The 23,302-nt window shown below is 35.7% G+C and overlaps 1 protein-coding gene across 16 annotated transcripts in view, besides 1 other annotated feature; it reads right to left on the bottom strand.

The window, feature by feature from the left end:
• Nucleotides 1–23,302, bottom strand: part of RABGAP1L (RAB GTPase activating protein 1 like) — an 835,789-nt gene that overhangs the window by 288,849 nt on the left and 523,638 nt on the right. For 10 of the 16 annotated variants that reach the window (NR_158982.1, XM_011510223.3, XM_047436028.1 and 7 more), the window contains 3 exons: nt 22,864–22,938; nt 6,810–6,935; nt 4,204–4,347 (listed from right to left, as the gene is read on the bottom strand). Coding sequence is in view for 14 of the 16 variants with exons in the window: in XM_011510223.3 (XP_011508525.1) it covers nt 4,204–4,347; nt 6,810–6,935; nt 22,864–22,938 (345 nt within the window). In the remaining 2 variants the exon portion in view is untranslated. Of the gene's footprint in view, nt 1–4,203; nt 4,348–5,314; nt 5,466–5,594; nt 5,922–6,809; nt 6,936–22,863; nt 22,939–23,302 lie in introns of those variants that run through there. The other 6 variants (NM_001366451.1, NM_001366450.1, XM_047436056.1 and 3 more) reach the window with 4 other exon arrangements.
• Nucleotides 16,575–16,869: an enhancer, noted in NCBI's record as "tiled region #10542; HepG2 Activating DNase matched - State 5:Enh". NCBI's record gives its function as "activates a minimal TATA promoter and a strong SV40 promoter by Sharpr-MPRA in HepG2 cells {active_cell/tissue: HepG2}" and the evidence as "EXISTENCE:reporter gene assay evidence [ECO:0000049][PMID:27701403]".

Genomic DNA, 23,302 nt, shown 5'->3' with positions numbered 1-23,302 from the left:
AAGATATAGGTTTGTTTTTTTAAAAATGATTTTCATTTCAGTTACTGACTAAAAGACAATCAAAACAGATTTTCACTCATCTTAACATAAGAAAATGTATTTTTAAACTCCAGTTTCAAATCCCATTGCTATCCATCATTCTGGAATTAACTAACCCATGTTATCATATATTCAGATTTAAGCAAATACTTTAAATAAAACTATTAATAATTAGCAGTTGTTCAGTCAGGCTGCATTGTCAAGGTCTATAAAATTCTTCTCTTTTCTGCTAAATTAACTTTATTGGCTTAACCTCAGAATGAATGAAGAAATCTTTAAAATAATATAGCTTAGGAAAGCATGTCATGATACGTCTTCTAAGCATAAAGTTTCAAACTCAGTGTCTTTCTTTTTCACTTTGCAATGGGATCTTTGAGTAAACATGTTGCACATGTTAAAAATCAGAATGTAAAACTTTGAAAAGTCAATACTTTTCTACCTGAGAGCTTCCTATCCTTCCATTTTTAAGTAAACATTGAGTCGTAACCTCAAAATTTAAATTGTTTTCTTAAAAACAGAGAATATGACAAAAACAAATACCTATGGATAATCTATTTAAGACTGTGTTTACCAATTCTTAGAATATGTCATCACATATGAAATAATAGCTTTTGATATAAATATTTTATTAACTACAAGAAGGAAAGGGGCAAAAAGAAAACACAGACATGCAGGAAGTAAAAGTTTATTCAAAAATTTCCTTTGTAAAATAATTCTTGACAAAGATGAGTTAGTGGAAAGAATAAATATCCTGAGGCACACTACAATATTGTTTCCAATAGATTATTCTGAAAAGCAATTTTAATGGTAAAGGATGTTACCATTTACTTCCCCGAACATCATGATGCTATGATTACAATCTATGTTTTGAAAAGTTTTCCAACTTCCTTAAACAGCTATAGAGTACAGGTTTAAGGGGAGGAAAGGTAATATCTATGATGTTCTTATTAATATTAATGAACATTATGACCTTTCAAACACTGATTGTAAGTCACAGTTGACAAGTGACGGGAAGGCTAATAAATTTATTTATCTTTTCTGTAGCACAAATGTTGCTAGTTTTCTTAACTGACATTAGAAATTCATGTATCTTCAAGATAAAATTTGAATCTAGGTTCCAGAAAACCCATGGACAATGTTCCGATGCCACGGGTGCCAACATTCGGGCAGACACTTTAGAAAGTCACCATCCCAGTGAACTGAAGGGCAGAGATACCACTCTAGGAAAAGTGATTGAGAAATCACATTTAGTTGGTTATGATTAAGCACATTAATTTTATTCCCTTTTCTACAATGAACACTATAGAACCAATCTAGTATGAAATTAATCTCTTTCTGCAAAAATTGTGAAGCAATAACAAATATTTGCAAGCTCATACTATATATAACTCAAAAACTGTTAAAATGTCATACCCCCACTTTCCTATTTTTATGAAATACCATGAAATACTAAACTCAGCTCAGTATATAAAAGTCTATGAATATTTATCAAAACTTTTAGCATTCACTTATTTTAATATTCTAGAACTTGAAGATGTGAATTTGGTTTATACTTTCAAAGAGTATTGCCCTATAAAATAGCGGAGTTGGAACTGTTCACTACACCAATTTGGATAATCAGGTAGAGTTTTTGGTACAAATAACCACATATGCTTTGTGAATATTGTGATTACAACATGGTGACTTTGAATAAAGTTTTAGCTCCTAATTCTGAATTCTTCCTTTAAGATACATTTAGAAAGGCATTTTACAAACTAATTTGTAAGTAAAACAAGTCGGAGAATTAACATATTATAAATCAGATTCTCTAGCTGTTATATTCAGGATTTGGAAACCTATTCTGCAAGCCTGGCAAGTCACTGAACCCTTCTTTATCAAAGTACAGTACAAATGATTAAAACTCTTACATGCTTACAAATGCCCTGTGACCTTCAGGTATTAGGCAAGTACTAACTAAAGCCACTGAAGAGCAAAAGACCAGCCTTGCCTGCATATATAATTGTTACTGTTTTAGTAGGCTGAGAAATAACATTTTTATGCTTTATATAGTTTACACATTGCATCTTTTAAATCTTATTTTTACATTTAAACTTCTAATTCCTAGTGTGATTAAAATCATTAGACTTTCCTTTTAAGAAAGAGGAATCTGGCTGGAAGCAGTGGCTCATGCCTCTAATCCCAGCACTTTGGGAGACCGAGTTTGAGACCAGCCTGGCCAGCATGGTGAAACCCCATCTCTACTAAAAATACAAAAAATTAGCTGGGCATGGTGTTGTGTGTCTGTAGTTCCAGCTACCTGGGAGGCCGAGGCAGGAGAATTGCTTGAACCCGGCAGGTGGAGGTTGCAGTGAGCTGAGATCATGCCACTGCACTCCAGCCTAGGTGACAGAGTGAGACTACATCTCAAAAAGAGAAAGAAAAGAGAATAGAAAAGGAAACGAAAAGAAAGAGAAATCTTTAAACAACTCAATGACAACAGAAAAACCAACTAGCCCCATTAAAAAGCGGGCAAAGGACATAAACAGACATTTTTCAAAAGAAGATATACAAATGGCCAATGAGCATATGAAAAAATGTTCAACATTACTAATTATCAAAGAAATGCAAATTAAAATCATAACATGATATTATCTTATGACAGTCAGAATGGCTATTATTAAAAAGTCAAAAAATAACAGATGTTAGTGAGGATGTAGAGAAAAGAGTCCACACTGCTGGTGAGAATGTAAATTAGTATAACCTCTATGGAAAACAGTATGGAAATTTCTCAAAGAATTAAAAATAGAACTACCATTCAATCCAGCAATCCCACTATTGGGTACCTATCCAAAGGAAAAGAAATCAGTGTATAAAAAAAGATTCGTGCACTTATATGCTTATCGCAGCACTATTTATAATAGCAAAGATGCAAAATCAGCGTTAAGTGTCCATCAGTGGATGACTGGATAAAGAAAATGTGGTATGTACATACAATGTAGCATTATTCAGCCAAAAAAAAGAGTAAAATCATGTCATTAGCAGCAACATGGATGGAACTGGAGGCCATTATGTTAAGTAAAACAACTCAGAAAGTCAAATACTGCCAAATAATGTGTATACATGGACACAGAATTTGTAATAATAGACATTGGAGACTCACATGGGACAGTGAGAGGGGGGTAGGGGATAAGAAATTATTCAACAGGTACAATGTGCATTATTCAAGTGATGGTTACACTAAAAGCCCAGACTTAACCACTACACAATATATCCACGTAGCAAAACATCACTTGTACCCCTTAAATTTATACAAAAAAAATTTTTTTTAAAGGATGTTTACCTTAAGAAGCATAGTAATACAAAACTGTCTAGATTATATATTAAGCTTATAATCACATAGATAAGCTTATACTTTTGATTAGTCCTGCTTTTTAAGATAGCTATATTTTATATACATTTATACTGCCATTGAAAATATACACTTCTTATCTAGCAAATTCCCTATTACTGCTAAGATAGTCAAACATTTTGATGACCAATATAAGCCATATATATGCATAATACTGTTTATTTCTTTAAAAGAGTAAATAAATATAGCCATCTAAGGAACTAAAAACAATAAAATACACAAATATAAACACCTAAGAAATTTTACAAACTAATTTTTGAAATATTCTACTATATAAAAATATAATTATATGACATAATAGCTTTAGTTTATCATTTGTCTCATCATTTCGCAGCAGTCCCAAACATGATAAACAGAAAGATATCTGATGAACTGAGAAATTAGTTATTATAAAAATCTCATTTATATTCACTCTTGCAGTATAACTGCATTAATATTAAAAAACACCCAATTCTAAATTCATTTATTTAACCTTAAAGGCATTTTATACTGGTAAAACATTATTATACAGATATAGGCTTATTATGAATTTAATTATGCAAATTTAATCACCCATTTTACTTTGTAGGAATTATATATGCCTTAACATTTTCATTCCTCAGAAATAATAAAATTACAATTAAAATAGTTTTTACTGAAAATTCAAATACAGCTTTTTGGTCAGTGAGTATTTATGGCTTAATGTCACAGGCAAAAACAAAAGGAAGAAAACTGTAACCATTTTTAGTAGAAACTACTTTCTATTTTGGCTTAGTGAAAGATGGGAGTCACTCTACCTCACAAAGCAGTAAGTCAATGATGTGGAACACCATGCAGAGTGGGAACTTGGCAGTAAAAAGAGTGAGAAACCACTGGGATGCATACATATGAGCTTCCAGGTTCAGATCAGAAAAATGGCTATGCAGGTCCGGTAGCTGTTCCTAAAAGTCAAAGTGGAAAATTTAGGAGCAATGAGAAGCTTGCAGCAGAACAATGAAGTTCCTGCCACAACTGCAACTTACAAACAGCTTTCTATGATCGCTGTAACTCTATTCTAGTATTGGTTGTCTTGTATAACTGCACAGAAGTGATGACAGCAGATGAGAATTAGGGATATGACAGATAATTGAGGAAAATAAAAACAGACTTATTATAAACAACTAAGAAAGACCATCTCTTGCTCACTTGACTGTTCTTGATTCTTGCAAAATTCTCATTCTACCAGAGCATCTGTAGTGTAATGAGTATCTTGACTCCAGGGTCAAGTCATAGCATCCCCATTCAGGGTTAAATTTTTTTTTTTTTTTTTTGAGATAAGAGTCTTGCTCTGTCATCCAGGCTGGAGTACAGTGGCATGATCCTGGCTCACTGCAACCTCCGCCTCCCAGGTTCAAGCCATTTTCCTGCCTCAGCCTTCCAAGTAGCTGAGATTATAGGCACCCTCCACCAGGCCCGATTATTTTTTGTATTTTTTACTAGAGACAGTGTTTCACCATATTAGCCTGGCTGGTCTCGAACTCCTGACCTCAAGTGATCTGCCCGACTTGGCCTCCCAAAGTGCTGGGATTACAGGTGTGAGCCACTGTACCCAGCCCAGGGTTCAATTCTTAACTAGCTAGAAAAGAAATGTATCTTCTCTTTGGAAATCATCTAATCTGGGGTCTATGATGTTTCAGTATATTTTTTGAACACTTAGAAAATTCTAAGCCACGACAAACTATTTAGAAATCTGTCTTCAGCATATTAAAAATGGCAAAGCAAAGAAATTATGCAAAGGTATAATATATAAAATTGGATATCTTCTAAAAATGCCTTTATGGTAACTTTATTTTTTTCTCCCAATTTAAACAAGCAAATGGTTTTCAAAAGCATGAACAGCAAGGTACAAAGTATTAGCATAGCTATTACCATAACTGAAAGACAAAGGCCACCTTCATTTTGTTTTCCTAAATAGACCACAAAAAGAAGAATAAAAAACAAAATAAGCCATTTCTTGAACTACATGCTCTCTTTGAAAAATAGCCAAATGTGCCCATTAGGTACTTCAAATGGAACGTCCAAATGCTCATTCAGTTAACTGAAAAAAAACTGCTAACAGAAAAATGTGGTTGAGGTTCTTCATAGTACCACACATCTGTTATTTATTAGGTATATTTACTTGATTCTCAAAGCCCTTAGGAATACTGACCTTTGAAAATATATGAATTTTTTGGTAAATAAAAGGCAAAAAGCGAGTAATCCCAAATATTTACTTGGTAGAATTAAATCGTTAAAAAGGAGCTTATTGCTGTTAATATCCATATTTACCAGATTCTTCTACATAGTCTTTTTCCTCCTTAATGCCCATTTGTCATTGTACTTATGGCTCGTTTTACATCCCTGCCTCCTTTTATTTCTTTTCAATTTTAAAGTCTTCTACCCTCCTACATTCCCTTCTCCCAATAAATTGTTCCTTTAACCTCACTGCAAATTCATCCTCTACTGCCCTGTTCTTCTAATCTCTCAGTCTCCTACTGGCTTCACTTCCCTCTTTAGACACCTACGGATCCCCTGGCAGTTCATATCAATGAGCTCCTACTAGCATCTTCTGCTCTCACATTCCACGAACCTCCTTCCTCAACCATTTTACCCTTCCCCAATATGGAATCAATCCATCCATGTATCTCCTTCACATTTCTCTTGGATTCCCAAAACCCCTTTTAAACAAAGTCACATAAACATGCCACAAAAACCCATTATAAATTTAAGATTATCAACTTCAGGTAGAACTCCAAAGCTAGTTAAAAATTCCTTTTGTCAGCTCTGGTCAATCACTTTGCCTGTGGTCACAATCTTTTTTACTGTGTAATATTTGGTATATATAAAAGGATGCATGTTTCTCACACACATTTATAAATACGCATTGTAAAGCACAACAACAACATTGAGATTAGGAATTATATTTAAAAATTTTTAAATGTATCCCTACAGTATTTTAGTATGTTTTATTCTCTTATGAATATCTTTCTGGCTTTTCCAAGTGTTCTACGTGGACTCAAATAAGGAAGTGGTGCTAATTAGTATGCAGAAAGCTCTTAGGTATTTCAATTTTTACTCTGTAAATATCTCCATTCCTCTACAAACAATACTTGGCAATCTCTTAATGATTAAACTCATTAGATTCTCACTTCAAAGTATATTTAACTTGAACATTTAAAATGTGAGATATTTTTAAAATAGTAAAATGGCTAAATAAACATATTATGATAGACCAATGTAGATATTGGTCTGAAACTAAATCCATGTACATTTTCTATAATATTCCATTAAACTTCTATAATTCATTATTGCTTACCAACTCTATTAGGCTTTTTCTATGACTCAACAAATCCCTGAGTGATAAAAGTTCCTAATTTTTATTTACCTGCATTAGTCTCTCCAACTGGTAGAATTTGCAATGAAGATCTTCGAAGTTGTTTCTGTAGAGGTCTCTCAAACCATAGTCGTACATGATTTTCACCAAAACACAGAATGCTTGTTCCTCTGGCATCTACAGAAAAATATATACATATACAATATAAATAAGTGGCATTTTGCCAGAATGTCAAAAAAGTTCCTTCATGTTATTAGTCCTCTGCATAAGTAGCTGAAGGCCTGGAGCAAATGAAGTCCTTCAGAGCCAGTCTTTGGCAGAGTGACATGACCTCCTTACTTGAGATGAATTATCTTCTTTTGTTAATTTTAATCATGTTGTCATTCATTCATTAGGCTACCTTTAAAAACAGGCAATACACTCATGATTAAAAAACCAAAGCACACTTTGGGAGGCCAAGGCAGCCAGATCACTTAAGCCCAGGAGTTCGAGACCAGCCTGACCAACATGGCAAAACCCTGTCTCTACAAAGAATAAAAAAATTAGCCGAGTGTGGCAACATGAGTGTGTAGTCCAGCTACTTGGGAGGATGAGGTGGAAGGATCGCTTGAGCCTGGGAGGTGGAGGTTGCAGTGAGCAAAATCACGTCACTGCATTACAGCATGGGTGACAGAGCGAGACCCCGTCTAAAAAAAAAATAAAATAAAATAAAATAAAAACAATGTAAAAAGATCTAAAGGTAAAAGTCTCGCTCCTCCCTATCATTATATATAAACTAATCCCCGGTACCTACACCCCCCAACCTCTTTTGCATAGCCTCATATCTACTCTAAATAATTTCTCCTGTATTCTGCCACTGATTATCTATGCAAATAAAATAATTACATTTTTAATTTTATTTTGTCCCATCCCACATAAAAGATAATATTCTATATACATTGTTATACATCTTGATTTTTTTCCTTAACAATATATGTTGGAAATCTTTCTATCTCAGTATATAAAGAGTTGTCTCTTTATTTTTTTAAAAGCAATTACATAGTATTCCATTATATAAAAGTACTATAGCTCATTTAACAAGTTTCCTATTGATACTTGAGATGTTCCTAATTTTTTAATCATATAAAGCTTCAATAAACCTTGCATATGTATCATTTTGTACATATGCAAAAATGGGGTGGGGTAGAGCACATTCCCAAAAGGGGGAATGCTGGGTGAAAAAATAAATGCATTTTAAATTTTGGTAAATAGCGTGAGACTATCCTCCCTGCGTTTTCTTGATGTTGCTACTTTCTGTAAAATACAGTTTTCAGGGAAATGGCCAGTAAACTCTAACATACTAGCTTTCTCAGAGGTATTTTTATCTGAACAGGGAATAAAGTCTGAAGTCAAAGGAACAAACCTCTAAACAGTGGTATCAACAGGTGAAAGAATATGGAAAGGGACATATCTAATATTCTAGAAATTACACCAAGCATACAGAAAAAGTTGTACTTATTCAATGTCCTAGGATGTAACTATTATACAAACATCTACTTTAAATATTACTTCCTTGAAAATTTACATTTGGTTGATTATGGTATTTCATACATTTGTTAGACTAACTTCATACTTCAGCAAGTGAATCAAGTAGAGTTCCATTTATCCACTTAGAAATGCAGTTGTACAAGATTTCATACAAATCAGCCACTTCTATTTTCTAATTATAAACCACAAAATACCCAAATTTGTTAAATAACATCTCCTGAAGTTAAATAAATACATTATAGTGTTTTCATTTTGATTCTTTAAATATTTGCTTATTTTCTTTTTATCTATGAGTTGTTTGAGACCTTTTCAAAATTTCTGGCCACTGACCTCAGCTATTCAAGTTAGCAACTATTTTTCAGCTTCCGTTTGGTTATTTAGGATACAATTACACTGTATTCTTTACTCCTTTGTCATCAAAGCCTCAAGTGACACTAACTTGAACATATATGGCCAAGAATACTTCTCTTACCAAGGTGTAAGCCTCTTCATCTTCCTCTCAGATCTCTACTCAAATGGCTATACAAAATAGCTGCATGTAAGATAACTGTAGCCAGGCCGGGCGCGGTGGCTCACGCCTGTAATCCCAGCACTTTGGGATGCCAAGGTGGGTGGATTACCTGAGGTCAGGAGTTCGAGACTAGCCTGGCCAACATGACGAAACCCCGTCTCTACTAAAAATACAAAATAGCTGGGCATGTTGGTGTGTACATGTAATCCTAGATACTGGGGAAGCTGAGGCAGGAGAACTGCTTGACCTGGGAGGTGGAGGTTGCAGTGAGCTGAGATCGCACCACTGCACTCCAGCCTGGAGTTTTGAGATTCTATCTCAAAAGAGAGAGAGAAAAAAAAAAGATAACTGAACTGTAGCCAGTCCTAGAGATACTAATTCACTTAAGTCTCTCTCTTTCTAAGTAAATGTCTTACCATCTGATGTCTTATAAAGGGAATATGTTTTTATTTCTTTGAATGTGGTAAAATCATTAGGGCAAATAAAAGGTTTATGTGCCTTTTGGCATTCATACATATAGTCACTGAACAGATGAGGTGCAGGCCCTGTTCTAGGCTTTAGGGATACAGAGATAAAGGTATAGTGCCTCCCTAGGGGAAGAGTAAACAGGCAACTCTACTTGAGTTTCATAAGGATGCAGAAGTCCTAGACTAGGGAATGTTGGGTGTTGGAAGTAAAGGTAAACATCAGAGACAATTTTGGAGGAGGCAGAGCTAGATGGCCAAATAGCAATCATCCTTCAGCAATCATCCTCCCTCAAGAACACCAAATTGAACAACTATCCACGCAAGAAACACCTTCATAAAAACAAAAAATCAGGTGAGCAATCACAGTACCTGGTTTTAACATGATATCAAGGAAGAAGGCATGGAAGAGGATAGAAAAAACAGTCTTACATCGTCTACACCACACCTATCCTATCCCCCCAGCACTGTGTAGAGAAAGAATCCATGCACTTGGGAAAGGGAGAGAGCAGGGATTGTGGGACTTTGCACTGGTACTCAGTGCTGCCCTGTCACAGCAGAACACAACACAGGGCAGAATTTAGCAGGCACACAACAAGGAAGGATTCAGACTGGCCCCAGACAGAAGGGAAGCCCCCTGGTAGACTAAAGTGCCCTGGTGTCCTGAACAAATTTGAAAAGCAGTCTAGGCCACGAGTATTACAATCTTCCGGCAAGTCCTGGTGCTGTGCTGGGCTTGAAGCCAGTGGACTTGGGGTACATACAATCCAGTGAAACACCAGCTGGGGTAGCCAAGGGATCAAATAGAAACAACAACAAAAAAGTAAGAGTGGCTATACTTACACCCCTTCCCCAACTCCAGGCAGGGCAGCTTGGGAGATACTCCTTTTCTGCTTGTGGAAAAGAGAGGAAACAGTAAAGAGGACTTTGTCCTGCAACTTGAGTACCGGCTCAGCCACAGTAACATGAAGCAGAGTCCTGAATCCCCTGAGTCCAGACCCTAGCTCCTGAAAAGCATTTCTAGATCCATCCTGGGCCAGAAGGAAACCTGCTACCCTGAATGGAAAGACCCTGGGGCCTTGAATAAACACCAGCAGCAGCCAGGCAGTAGTCGTCAGGTACCATGCTGGCTTCAGGTGTGACCAAGTGCAGTTGCAGCCATAGTAGCCAGTCCCAGCTGTGGTGGCTAGTGCTTGTGTCACCCTGCTCCTCAACTCCAGGAAGCCCAGCATGAGGAGAAAAAAACACTATTTATTCAGGGGAAAGTGAGAGAAGAGAAAAAGAGATTTTAGGAATTCTCTCAGATCTTACCCAAGCCCACCAAGGCTATATCTCTGCGAGTCTGCAAAAATTGCAGCATTATTTGGCTTGGGGCATCCCCTAAAGCAGATATGGCTTCAGTGACTAAAGACTTAGATCACAACACTTAATTCCCTTTGGAAAGCCTTCTCAAGAAGGACGGGTAAAAATAAGTTCAGACTATGAAGACTGGAATAAATACTTAACTTTTCAATGCCCAGATATCAATAAACATCCACAAGCATCAAGAATACCCAGGAAAACATGACCTCATCAAATGAACTAAACAAGGTACCAGGGACCAATCCTGGAGTGAGAGATATGTGACATTTAAGAGAATTCAGAATAGCTACTTTGAGGAAGCTCAATGACTTCAAGACAATACAGAGAAAAAATTCAGAATCCTATCAGATAAAGTTAACAAAAAGACTGAAATAATAAAAAATAATTAAGCAGAAATTCTGAAGCTAAAAAATTCAACTGACAAACTTAAAAATGTATCAGTCTCTCAACAGTAGATGATCAAGCAGAAGAATCAGTGAGCTTGAAGACAGGCTATATGAAAATACATAGTCAGAGGAGAAACAACAACAACAAAAAGAATAAAAAGACATTAGGCATGCCTGCAAGATCTAGAAAATAGCCTCAAAAGGGCAAATCCATGAATTATTGAGCGTAAAGAGGAGGTAGGGGAAGAGATCAGAGTAGAATATTAGAAAATAAATGGACTGGAGTTGAAAAGTGATGCATAAACCTACAAAATGGGAGAAAATTTTCGCAACCTACTCATCTGACAAAGGGCTAATATCCAGAATCTACAATGAACTCAAACAAATTTACAAGAAAAAACAAACAACCCCATCAAAAAGTGGGTGAAGGATATGAAGAGACACTTCTCAAAAGAAGACATTTATGCAGCCAAAAAACACATGAAAAAATGCTCACCATCACTGGCCATCAGAGAAATGCAAATCAAAACCACAATGAGATACCATCTCACACCAGTTAGAATGGCAATCATTAAAAAGTCAGGAAACAACAGGTGCTGGAGAGGATGTGGAGAAATAGGAACACTTTTACACTGTCGGTGGGACTGTAAACTAGTTCAACCATTGTGGAAGTCAGTGTGGCGATTCCTCAGGGATCTAGAACTAGAAATACCATTTGACCCAGCCATCCCATTACTCGGTATATACCCAAAGGACTATAAATCATGCTGCTATAAAGACACATACACACGTATGTTTATTGCGGCATTATTCACAATAGCAAAGACTTGGAACCAACCCAAATGTCCAACAATGATAGACTGGATTAAGAAAATGTGGCACATGTACACCATGGAATACTATGCAGCCATAAAAAATGATGAGTTCATGTCCTTTGTAGGGACATGGATGAAATTGGAAATCATCATTCTCAGTAAACTATCGCAAGAACAAAAAACCAAACACCGCATATTCTCCCTCATAGGTGGGAACTGAACAATGAGAACACATGGACACAGGAAGGGGAACATCACACTCTGGGGACTGTTGTGGGTTGGGGGGAGGGGGGAGGGTTAGCATTGGGAGATATACCTAATGCTAGATGACGAGTTAGTGGGTGCAGCGCACCAGCATGGCACATGTATACATATGTAACTAACCTGCACATTGTGCACATGTACCCTAAAACTTAAAGTATAATAATAATAAATAAAAAATAAAAAAAGAAAAAAAATGGCATAGTACAGTATTTGCAGGTAACCATATATGTTATATTTGCATATAACATTACTGAAGTAGATGATTTTAGTAATCTACTTTAAATCATCTCTTTATAATACTTAATACAATGTAAATGCTATGTAAATCGTCATTACAATGTATTTTTATTTATATTTTTACTTGTTACACTGTTATTAATGTTTCCAAATATTTTTCATCCACGATTGGTTGAACCTGCAGACATGAAGGGCAGACTGAATATATGTATCTCATTTGCCATTTGCTCTGAAAATTTTCTTGAACCCTGATATTATATCATGTACTTAATAGCACCTACTTGTTTCCTTTAACTGTACTTTTAAAATAATTTACTTATAGATGCATTTGTGCAGTTGTTTGATTAGTATCACTCACTGCTCCACTGAGCTTTGGACTCCATAACAAAAGACACCATGTTTATTTTTTTCACTACTGTATCTATTGTATTTGCCTGGTGCCATCCATATAGTCAGCTCTCAGCTTATATATTTTAAGGAATGATTAAATAAGCAATTGAATGAATGAGTAAATAAACAAATTGCATAAAATAAAATATCATTTGCAAAAAAAAAGAAAAGTGATGCATAACAGTAGAGCTGCAGCATACCATCATATACCATTTTTATCATACAGATAAAACAATGTAAATAGTTCAAGAGCACAGACAACAGTAAAAAGTGGTAACATAACCAGAAAGTGATGAATTTTGAGTACTTATTACTTTTGTTTTTAACATGAGTTATTTAACTGTAAGTTTTTATCATTTAATTTGTAACAATGGCTGTGCTTAACAACTGGTTCACAGAATTCCTGAAAATTTAACAATTGGCCGTCAAAAGCTGGTATGACCTGGCTGTAGCACAGCACTGATATGACCATGATAAAGAGTTAGGAATGTATTCTAAGTGCAGTGGGAAATCAGTGAAGAGTTTACAGCAGCGGATCTGATTTTTATTTTTAGTAAGGTCACGCAGCTGCTACCAATTCCTCATTAGTTCCCAATACTGAGGGACAACTATATTTTGGTTTACTAAGAATCTATCACTTTTCTTTTGTATAAAGGTATAATCTACAAGAACCTATATTCAATCATTCCTCTCAAAACTTTGCCCAGAAACAGATCATGAATATACAAAAGGCGCTGCAGGAGAAATACATGATTTTGGAATTATACCAATAGATGTAATTTCAGGTAAGGTTTTAATTACTCGCTGGGTGATTTTGAGCAGGCAACCTCTTTTAATGCCTAAGATTTTTTTTACTTCTAAAAAATTAGAAATAATAATACCTATGTCATAGGGATGCTACAAGTATTAAGTGAAATATATTTAAGAGACAACATATACATATTGTTGGCAATCACTAAATGTAAATTTCTCTTATCTTTCCTTCCTTAAAGACAGAGACTCTGTCTTATACATTGACAATTACCAAAGTGCTTTATACAAGGATACTCAAAAGAATAAACAGATGCATAGGTAAAATTTTTACTCTAAGATCTTTCTGTTAAAATGATTTGCTGGAATTTAAGTTGATAACATGAAGCAGCAAAAATATGCTGCTTTTCATATAAGTGACAGCATTTCTTGTGTATCACTAGGAAGAATGTCCCCCTCCTCCTCCCCATGCTTTTTATGACTCAGACAAACTGCAGTTTCAAGGTTCTCCACATGGTTTTGTATACAAGCTCAGAGGGAATAACTGGGTTGGGATATACTCTATAGCACAGCTCTGCCTTTAAAATATTACTGATCTTTTAAAACTGATCATAAGTGGCACTTTGTTATTTCTCTTTAACGTGAGGAGACCCCTGCTTTCTCTGAATCCCAAAACTCTTTGTTGTATACCATTACAGTTATTTGTGCACTTCTAACCACCACTTTAATGTTGTACCCCCCGCTCCACAACTCTTGGCATAGAACCTTCAATAAATATCAAGTGTTAAATATTTCTTTAAGATAAACTAGCAAAATTCTGCATATATCTGCCTTTTTAATGAAGTCATACCACACAAGTAGGGCAATCTGTTGGTAACTGCCAACAAAAATGTAGAAGGAAAGTATTGGTGTGAAGGCTAGAAGCAAGGGGCAGCCAAATGCAACTATATTAGCACTTGATTTCCTGTAATTCTATTCCAAATGCTAAATATAAAAAGCTTTTATATTATCTATATTTTGTGTTGACTATTCAGCTTATCCCTCAATCGGCATAAAGAAAATCAACCAAGATGTGAGATGCAATGCTAGGTTGTACTGTCAAACTTCACCTTAGTACGTGCAATTCCTCCACGAGGTAGTACGGTGGTACCTACCTACTTAAAAAAAAAGCACTAAAATGACTATTTAACTTATTACAATGATTAATGCTTCATAGAATAAGATAATCCAATTTATCCAATTTATGCAATTGGTCTAAAGTTACAATAAAAATACATAATTGAACAACACATCTTTAAATAAAATATTAAGGTGTTGGAATATGGTGGGTCTCTAAGACTGAATGTCCATTTTTGCTGTGTACAGAAACTTTATCACCAGTGTTATTTCATTAAGGAAAAGAGGGGATAAACATTAAAATATTATAATTTAAGATATCAAAATATCATCCATGGCTTTATGAAATACAAAACAAAAATACCTGCCTCACATGCATAATTGAGAATTGAGTGATGTAATCACCGTTTGGTAATAAATGTTGATAATGATCTGCCATCTGTACTAATTGTGATGATCACTGAATGGAGACAATCTCCAAGCCCTCACTACTTCTCTCCACAAGAAACTATAAAACAAAGCAGTGCTAAGTATTTCAAGTCTTTAAGATGCACCTGAAATCATTTACATCAAGGTATTTTTTGAAGTAAAACTACATTTTGATAATTTAAAGTAATCCCCATAGTTAGTGTAAAACTAAATTTCCTGCTTCACATGATGTGTTTCACATCTTTTTGGAATGATCTACCTTTCTCTATGAAGGAGATGAACACTCTACTGATATTCCCAATTTTCTTCAACAAAAATGAATGGGCCCGGCATGGTGGCTCATGCCTGCAGTCCCAGCACTTTGGGAGGCTGTGTGTGATCACTTGAGGTCAGGAGTTCGAGACCAGGCTGGCCCACATGGTGAAACATCATCTCTACTAAAAATACAAAAATTAGCCAGGCATGGTGGCATGTGCCTGTAATCCCAGCTACTCGGCAGGCTGAAGCAGAAAAATTCCTTGAACCCAGGAGAAGAGGCTACAGTGAGCCAACATCTTGCCACTGTACTCCAGCCTGGGTCATAGAGCGAGACCATGTCTCAAAAAAAAAAAAAAAAAAAAAGATGAATGCTGGTGAACCTTCAAACTCAAGGTTATTTATCATGTCTTCATTTTTTGTTTACATATTAAAAAGCAAATAGAATGAAAACTTCTAGTCATTTGTCTATTCTCCCTTTAAATCAAATAGCTTAATACATTTAAATTGAATGTCAATGTATAAGCCATAAAATTCTATCACTGTATGATATATTAGTCTCCTATGTGTAATCCATTCAAATTAGTTGGACCAGGGACCAAAAGAAAACTGGCTGGGCAAATAATTATTAATGTAAAAGCAAATAATTATTAATTTAAAAAATAACAGCAACAGTTACCATTATTAGACATATTCATTCATGACCCCATTTGATATTCACAAAAATCCTGCAAGGTAGGCATTATTTTTACATTATAAATATAATACTAGTGAAGTTCAAAGAAGTTAAATGACTTGCCAGTAACTATAGGTCTATTAAGTAAAGCCTGGTTTTAATCTCATAACTGCATTATTTTTGTGCTAGGTACAAAATATGTAAGACTCTTTACACTCATCATAAGGTACTCAATACTCATAATAAGCCTAGAAGGATGATAACAAGAAACTAAAGCTCAGTTGAAGAAACTTGCCCAAAGCCATATAACTTGAAAGGTATTAAACCACAATCCAAATTCACAGTTGTACTTTTCAGTATCCTTTGAAAGAGTTCAGCTTCAAAAAGGCAGAGAGACATAAGATAGTAGTTAAATATTTTTTAAATAGGTAAAATGTTTGTGTGTATTAGGACACAGGGAGATGTTGGAAAATGGCTCAAAAGCACTTCATAAGAATTAACTTGGAATAGGAAAATGAATGCTTCTTTCTCTTGAACTAGAAGGAAAAGTGATTTGGAAGTATAGGACTTACTTTTTAAATACACTAAAAATCTTGTAGTAAGTATATCACTCAAGATGATGTGATGTACCTGTTTAGCATCCTACTGTCCCATCATCTGATATCAAAACCCCTCTTCCTATAGGAAGACCATTCCATTGTTTAGGAGGGGCTGATGGTGTTCACTGATCTTGACTAAAGACCTGGGCTGTGACAATTAGAATGCCCTACCCAACCAGGCCAAAGTCCAACAGGAAGAAAAACAGAGGGAGTTGTTGGTGGTGTTGTTGTGTGTCACTTTAAATAAATGCAGGAGCTATAGCAAAAGACAGTCCCTTTTAAACGAGGTAGCAAAAAATAGTCCCTTTTAAATGAAGTTGTCCTGATCATATGAATCCAGGCCAGCCAACAGTCATTTTGCCCCACTTTTTTGTCTACTAACATAATTAAGACAATAAAATTCAAGAAAAGCAGAGATACAGATTCTTGATGACAAAATATGAACTCTGCAGTCCAATCATGTGAAAAATCATCTCTGACCCTAGATTTCCCAGTTATATGAGTCAATTCTGTCACATGCAGCAGAAAGAGTCTTGAATAATATAATGCCACAAATACTTAACATATATATATGTTATAAATATATATATATACGATAGAGACTTCAAAATGAAGCCTTTATCTTGTCACCTTGGACTCTGGAATCTGTAATAGGTAGTTCTGCTTCTTATTTACTTCCATTGGTTAAATCTTATCCCAAACCTGTCTTTTTGGTGAGAAATATTTTAAAATTTATAATTTTTAATTTTATTTTACTCTGAAATACAACAAACAGAAAAATGTATAAAAGTTAAATGTACACTTTAATTAATACTTGATTATAAACTAAAAAAACTTACAAAGGATGCATGTAACCACTATCTAGGTTAAGAAAGAGAATACTGTCGATAGCCCTGAAAATCCCTGTCTCTTTTCAGTCATGATTCCCAGTTTCTCCCTAGAGAAATCACTTTCGTAACTTTAACAGTTACCACTTCATTGGTGTTCTTTATAGTTTTTTCCATCTATCTAGCATCCTAAAAATAGAATTTAGTTTTGCTTGTTATTGAACTTTATGCAGAATGGAATCATACCAAATGTAATGTTGTACTTTGCTTTTTTTAAACTAAATCTTATGTTTATATGATTCATTTATATGAATCAATGTAGTGTGAAACATTCATTTCCATTGCTGTATGGCATTCATACTCTAAGAATATCATAATTTAGCCATCTTACTGTCTAATTACAATTCTAATATTGGACATTTTAGTAGTGGACATTTGAGTTGCTTCAGTGTTTTGACTGTTATAAACACTATTAATTAGGACAAAAGTAATACATGTATTTTGATGTACAAGTGCGTAAATTTGACTAAGGTACGTCTAGGAGCAAAACTTCTGGGTGTGCATATCTTTATCAGACAAAGCCAAATTGGTTTCGAAAGGAATTGTACCTAGTCATAGTTTTTTTAAAAAAATTCAATAGTTTTAAACATGCTAGATTATTCAAACATAATCCTTCTTGCAGTTGGAAAGCTTCTATAAATGCCAATATTAGTATACATACAGTAATTTAACCTTAAAAATGAACATAAACTTCTGAATGTCTAAAAAGGTACATGTTCAATTAAAAAATTTAAAACTTGTAACAATAAATATTGTAGAAAAATTATTGGGTTACAAATTATCTAAAATATTTTATATAATTTTTAGAGTAAGTGAAATATAATCAGGTCATAATTTATTAAGACTAAGAGATAAAGACTAATATCATGATTATGAAATTAGAAATTATTATTGTATATTTCATTACAAAGGCAGTTGAACATTATAATGGTTGCAGGCAATCTGTACTATAACATTCTCCAACTGTAAATGACAAATTTCTTGTAATTTCATAAATGGATGTAAGAGTCTACTGTGATAAACATTTAATTCTTCCATTGTCTAAACTACTACATGTTACAAAGCTATTGTCAAAGCATCTAGAAATTTCCAAGTACAAGGAGAGGCTAATTATTTATTTAGACTACTTAGACACGAAAAAATCCTAAAAATTCAAAACTGTTTTTGAACATACTTTCATTTTTGGTCTTACTTTCTTCTCAGGCAATGAATGTGAAATATAAATGACTATGGGTGAGGAAAGGACAGAACCCAAAAGGAAGCAGGCTCTCACAGTGATTAATATGGAGCTTCCAAAGATGTCTGGCAGCAAAAAGAAGCAATAGCTTATGTAACTGATAACAAATTAGTCAGTAAGACCCTAATAATGTATCTCCCTGGAACCTGAGATAGTGTGTTTGATGAATTGTTTAAACCAGTCCGTATTCTTCTATTTGTTTAAACCAGGGAGACAAAAATATAGTAAAAAATAAATTACAGTTAACTTCTGTTATTCAAATTGGTTGAATGGATGGGTTGGTCAGTTAATGGAATATGCTAATTAACAGAATTATCAAACATACTGCCAATTAAAAATTAGAATATGTTTTTCATTAACAGAATGCTGAATATCAGTTCATTGTTCCTTAAGGATTCTAAAAGGATTTCTATATTTCAAGTTATTTTTATAAAAGCCATGACAACACTGAATAATTCTATTAATGTAGAAAGTGTGAGAGACTAGACTGAATTTCTGTCTCTCTTGTAACATACACTGGAAGCTATCTTGTTGGAGTTCACAAAGGCTGACTCACTACGTGGCCCTTATAATAGTAGAGTACCTAATGTAGAAAAAAAATTCTGGGTATTTGAGCTCTCGTTATTTGAATCTCTCTCTTTCTCTCTTTGCGGACGGGGTGGGGAGGGTGTTTCCAAATAATTATGAACTTATAATTGACCCAAACTTCTGTCAAATCCAAAACAGATTTCTCAGAGAGATATTCTTCTCACTGAACATTAATAAATATATTATAATATGTTAAACAGGGCTACAGGTAAAAAATGCTAAACTACGGTATGTTCAAAGATCACTTTGTGGCCAGGCGTGGTGGCTCACGCCTGTAATCCCAGCACTTTGGGAGGCTAAGGTGGGAGGATCACCAGGTCAGGAGATCAAGACCAGCCTGGCTAACATGGTGAAACTCTGTCTCTACTGAAAAAAAAACTAAAATTAGCTGGGCATGGTGATACGTGTGCCTGTAGTCCCACTACTCTGGAGGCTGGGGCAGGAGAATCGCTTGAACCCAGGAGGCGGAGGTTTCATTGAGCTGAGATTGCACCACTGCACTCCAGCCTGGCAACTGAGCGAGACTCCATCTCAAAAAAAAAAAAAAAAAAAAAAAAAAAGATTGCTTTGTTCAAACCAAAGCTTCACCACCCATGTCTTGAACTTCAGCTTCTCATCCAAGTAATTATAAAGGCTTCCTTTAGAAGAAAGATGGCTCTGAGCCTTGAAGAAAACATCCATGTCACTGGGTATGGTCTCCAGCCTCTTAGGGAAGGGACCTGACTATTCTAGATTCTAGTGGGTTTAGAAGGGGAACAAGGGCCCCTGAGAATTTGTGACTATAAAGTAACTGGTCATCACAGGAAGTCCCAAAAAGGTGAGATGTAGAGAAATCAAAGAAAGAAGGATAACAAGAAGACAGAAACTGTCATAAACAGATAATAATGTAACAGAGGGAAAAAAACCATCAACCTCAAAGTGAAACAAAGTGAAAATCATAATAGAACTATTATAATTAAAATCAGGTTTTCAGAATTAGGACCATGAATCTACTATAATTGCTCTTCACTTCCAGAATGCTAAACCTCAAAAAAACAATGCTGTCCTTTTAAACTTGTTTGGCCTCTCGTTACATTTGACACTATTCATTGCTTCCTCCCTACTGAGAATCCGAACTTCTTTAAGGATTTTACTTCCGCATCAGCCCTTCAAATGTTTGCTGTTCCTGGGATTTAATCTTCTTACTCTATTCATTCTTCTAGATGATCTGATGTACTCTCATGACTTCAGCTTTCATTTCTCCTCCAGCATTAATCTCCAGTATGCAACTGGCTGCTGAACATATATCTCCACCTAGATGTCCCAAGAATATCCTGAACTCAAATAATTAGAAACAAAACTTATCATCAGACGGGCACAGCGGCTCCTGCCTACAATCCCAGCACTTTAGGAGGCCAAGGCAGACGGCACACTTGAGGTCAGGAGTTTGAGACCAGCCTGGCTAACATGGTGAAACCCCATCTACTAAAATACAAAAATTAGCCCGGTGTGGTGGCGCATGCCTGTAATCTCAGCTACTTGGGAGGCTGAGGCAGGAGAATCACTTGAACCCAGGAGGTGGAGGTTGCAGAGAGCTGAGATCATGCCACTGCACTCCAGCCTGAAAGACAGAGGTAGACTTCATCTAAATAAATAAATAAATAAATAAATAAATAAAGGCCGGCGCGGTGGCTCACGCCTGTAATCCCAGCACTTTGGGAGGCTGAGGCAGGTGGATCACGAGGTCAGAAGATCAAGACCATCCTGGCTAACATGGTGAAACCCCATCTCTACTAAAATATACAAAAAGTTAGCCGGGCATGGTGGCAGGAGCCTGTAGTCCCAGCTACTGGGAAGGCTGAGGCAGGAGAATGGAGTGAACAGGGGAGGCGGAGCTTGCAGTGAGCCGAGATTGTGCCACTGCATTCCAGCCTGGGCGACAGAGTGAGACTCTGTCTCTAAAGAAAGAAAGAGAGAAAGAAAGAACTCATCATCATCAACTCCTAAACTTTTTCCTTCATTCAATCTCCATAGATATATTTGCTATCTGAACTCAAAATACAACATTCATCCAGTCTCCAAAGCCAGGAAACTAGATATGTCACCTTTGACTGCTCCTTTGCCAATCCATCCACAAAACCTAACAATTTTGCTCCCTGAATGTTTCTTAATTCTGCTTTTCTCTGGGTTCTCAACATCTCTCATTTAAACTGACATTTTCTTTTCCTTTTTATTATTATTATTTTTTTGAGACAGGGTCTCCTTCTATTGCCCAAGCTGGACTGCAGTGGTGCAATCAAGGCTTACTGCAGCCTTGACCTCCCAGGCTCAAGTGGTCCTCCCACTTCAGCCTCCCAGGTAGCTCACCACCACTACAGGTGCTCACCAACACACCCAGATACCTTTTGTGTGTGTGGTAGTGATGGTGTCTCATTATATTGCCTAGGCTGGTTTCAAATTCCTGGGCTCAAGTGATCCTCCTGCCTCAACCTCCCAAAGTGTTGGGATTACAGGTGTGAGCCACTGTGCCTGGCCATATTGATGTTTTCTACCTGGTCTCTCTGCTGCTGTCTGTTTCCTTTAATTCTGCCCTTTACACAGGTATGAAAAGATTTATCTAAAATGATCATATGACTGTATTATTCCCTTGCTCCAAAGTGATCAATGGTTCCTCATTAGCTCTAGAATAAAGCCTGCATTTTTGACACATTACAAAGTCTTCACAATTTCCCATCTTACCATTTTTACGTCATACCACTCCCCGTGTACAATTGCTATAGTAAACTGTGATTTCATATTGTTCCCTTTGTATGCTGTGCCCTATCATACTTCCATACATTTTCTCATATTGTGACTTTTGTCAATAATTCTTTACCCCCTCCCTTTCCCCTCTCACCTTCTCCAATCTCATTTCTGTCTTGACAAAGCTGCCACCTCCTCCAGAAAGTCTTTTCTGAAAGTTCTGGCAGAGCTTGGTTGGGTAATTCTCCTCTCTATTCTCTTAACCTGTGTATCACTTTCACTTAGCATACTGTAAGTTATTTAATGAGTATGTATTATTTTTGTCATCAGAAAAATAAAGACACATAAAAGAGAACAAAAATTATAAGTTCATGCCTACATTATCTGTGCCCCATCCTGGACTATGAAGTCTTTGAGAACACAAATTATAAATGATTCATCTTTATAACCCCACTTCCTAGCCCAGTACCTGAAAATTGATGCTCAATAAATGATCTGTCAAATGAAGGTAACTGACAGGAAAGAGGATATATAAAAATACATCACAGAAATGATAAAGGACTTCCTTGTCACAGTATAGTGGGTCTTAATGGTCCAGGTCCTGATATTTGGGCAGTTATACCGACTTCTTTAATTCCAGAGGATTCTAGTTAAAAATAACTCCAAATAAGCAATTTATCCTTTTCTAGCCAACAAAACTAATTCCATTGAGAAACTGTCGTATTTTTGACATCATATCTCTTACTTTATCACCTAACGTACATTTTAAAAAAGATATGCCATATGTAATCTCCATCAGATAAATGGGAAATAAGAAGGAAGAACAAAGCCAGTAGAAAGTAAAATAAACTTGGCAGCACTGTGCTATTTATCACACGGACCATTACTTACATGCAGCAGTAATACAGCAGCAAGAAAAGACTGCCCTTGACAGTACCCAATGTCTTCATCATACACAGAGTAGGCCTAGAGAAAAGATGAAAAGAAAGAAATATCGTAAATAGTCACAGATTTTAACTTAAATGTTAGCTCATACCAGGCTCCTGCTTGTTCCTGTCCCTGGGCTGTCAACCACAATTCCACTGGTCTTTCAACTTGAATCTGTATACCACTAGCACAGTGAGATCCCCAAAGAGGCTGTGTATTTCCTAAAGCAGCTCTATGTCCCTTTATCCCAGGTTCATCTTTAAAATTTTGAAATAAAGAGATGCTCAGAGGACCTAAGTTAATATTAAAAGATCTATTATGGTTTGAGATCAGCTGTATGAGGCCACAGGAGGCAGAGGCAAAGGGTGGGAGAGAGTAAGAAGATTCTAAGGTTGAAGTGTGG

This window comes from Homo sapiens, chromosome 1 (genome assembly GCF_000001405.40).
Source record: "Homo sapiens chromosome 1, GRCh38.p14 Primary Assembly".
NCBI lineage: Eukaryota > Metazoa > Chordata > Mammalia > Primates > Hominidae > Homo > Homo sapiens.
This window is presented reverse-complemented; position numbering and strand designations above follow the sequence as displayed.